This window comes from Homo sapiens, chromosome 10 (genome assembly GCF_000001405.40).
Source record: "Homo sapiens chromosome 10, GRCh38.p14 Primary Assembly".
Taxonomy (NCBI): Eukaryota; Metazoa; Chordata; class Mammalia; order Primates; family Hominidae; genus Homo; species Homo sapiens.
In genome coordinates this window covers 97819482-97821896 of record NC_000010.11, presented here as the reverse complement: position 1 = coordinate 97821896, position 2415 = coordinate 97819482, and positions in this window count along the sequence as shown.

The following is a 2415-nucleotide window of genomic DNA, read 5'->3' as shown; positions in this document are numbered from 1 at the left end:
ATCTCTATGGAAAGGGAGCCCAAGCCTCCAAGCCTCCTGCCCCCCTTTCCTGCTCCTGGCAGTGCTCTAATTAACTCCTCAGCTGGATGCCGCCTGCCATGGGTACTCTGGCCAGGGCTGCCATGAATAACTGCACCTGCGCTCACACCCAGCTTCCCACAGAGGCTGGGCCCAGTGCCCCTGCAGAGAGTGTGACCACTGGGAGCCTGGTCCTGGGGGCCTGGACTCCCCCGGCTATGCACTCTCCTTTGGGAGCCTGAGCTGAGGGCATATGGGGGTCTTTGGGACCCACCCTCTCCTCTGCAGCCTCCACCACAACCCTGCAGGGGCTACTTGCTGGTTCAGCAATCCTGCTGTGTGCCTGGCATGGGGCTCAGACCTGAGCAGGGAAGGAGTCGGGAGGGCAAGGAGATGAATAAGCCTGTCCTCCCTCAAGGGAGGCAAACACATAAACAACTCATTATGCAATGAGAAGGAATGAAGTTAGTGCTAAATTAAGGTACAAGCTGGGCACCAAGACTGCAGGCCCTCAATTCTTCCCCACTTTTTTTTCTTATTATAAAAGCAATTCATACTCATTTTACAAAGAATTTATATATGCAGATAACAAAAAGAAAATTATAATACATTCTTTATCCATCCACTCAAGGACAACTTTGTCCATACCTGTGGCCCAGACTTCCAAACTTTTTTTAACAGAGCAAGGACAGGTCACAGATCTGAGGGTCTCTCCTCCAGGGACCACCCGCCTGGCTCTGGGACAGTCTTTCCAACTTGAAATTCACAAGAAATGCATAGAAAGATTTCAAAGCAAATAATATGGATAGTATGACAAGTTCATGTAAAAAGAAAAATCCCAAAACTCTATCAATGCCTGGAAAATGTCTGGAAAGATACTTACTAAAGGGTCAACATTTATCAGCTAGGGGGAAAGTGATGGAGGAGCAGATAGACTTTTTTCTGCTAGAAATGTCTTTGAATTGTTACAATAAGCATGGATTTATATAAACTTTATGATTTTTTAAAATGAAAACTTTTTTAAAAAAATTGCTCAAGGCATAATTTCCAAATTTTCTATGGCGTTGTCTTATCTTTGCACTTAGAATAATATAATATGAAAACTAAAAGGAGGTACAGCCACTGTGGAGAGCAGTTTGGCAGTTTCTGCAAAAGGTAAACAGAATTTCCGTATGACCCACCAACTCCACGCATTTGGATATGCTCGAAATGACTGAAAACAGGGACTCCCCTTGTTCACAAATGTTCATCACAGCACTATCCACAGTAACCGAAAGGTAGAAACAACTCAATGTCCATCAACGGCTGAATGGATAAACAAATCGTGTTATGTACATGCAATAGAATATTACTCAGCTATTAAAAAGAAATAAAGTGCTGACACTTGCTATAACATGGATGAAACTTAAAACATTACGCCAAGGGAAGGAAGCCAGACATAAAAGGCCACAGAGTCTATGATTCCTTTGAAATGAAATGAACACAATAGGTAAATCCATAAAGGGAGAAAGCAGATGAGTGGTTACCAGAGGCTGGGGGGAGGGAGAGAATGAGGAGTGATTACTTAATGGGCACAGGGTGTTTTTCTGGAGTGACGAAAAATTTTGAAACTAGTGGTTTTGAAACTGGTGGTTGTACAACATTGGGAATATACTAAATGCCACTGAATTGTATAATTTTTATTTATTTATTTATTTATTTATTGAGACAGGGTCTCACTCTGTTGCCCAGACCAGAGTGCAGTGGGGTGATCTCGGCTCACTGCAACCTCTGCCTCCCAGGCTCAAGCCATCCTCCCATCTCAGCCTCCCACCCCCAGCTCCCACACCACCACACCCAGCTAATTCTTCTACTTTTTGTAGAGACAGGGTTTCACCACGTTGCCCAGGCTAGTTTCAAACTCCTAGACTCAAGTGATCCTCCCACCTTGGCCTCCCAAAGTGCTGGGATTAGAGGTGTGGACCACCACACCCAGACTGAATTGTACACTTTAACACGGTTCCTTGTATGTTATGTGAATTTTATCTAAAAAAAAAAAAAAAAACAAACAAACAAACAAAAAAAACCACAATGAAACATTAAAAATAATAAAAACAAAAACAAAAGCAAAAAGCTTAGTCTCACTCAACTTTCATGCCCCCCAACCCCTGACCACCTGGCCTTCGAGGGTCTTGAAGGAAAAATCTTCAACCTGCCCACTGGCAGGGCCAAGCCACTTGGCTCCCAGAAGGCCTTGGAGAGGCAGGGGCAGTCCAAGGGAGAAAAGTACCCCCAAGTAAGAGAGGGGAGAGGAGCGCAGAGGCAGGAGCTGGGCCAGGCAGACAGAAGAGGGAAAGCAGCCATCCTGCACCAGGCACCACACTCCCGAGGAACCCTCGGATATCCCTGAGAGGTCAG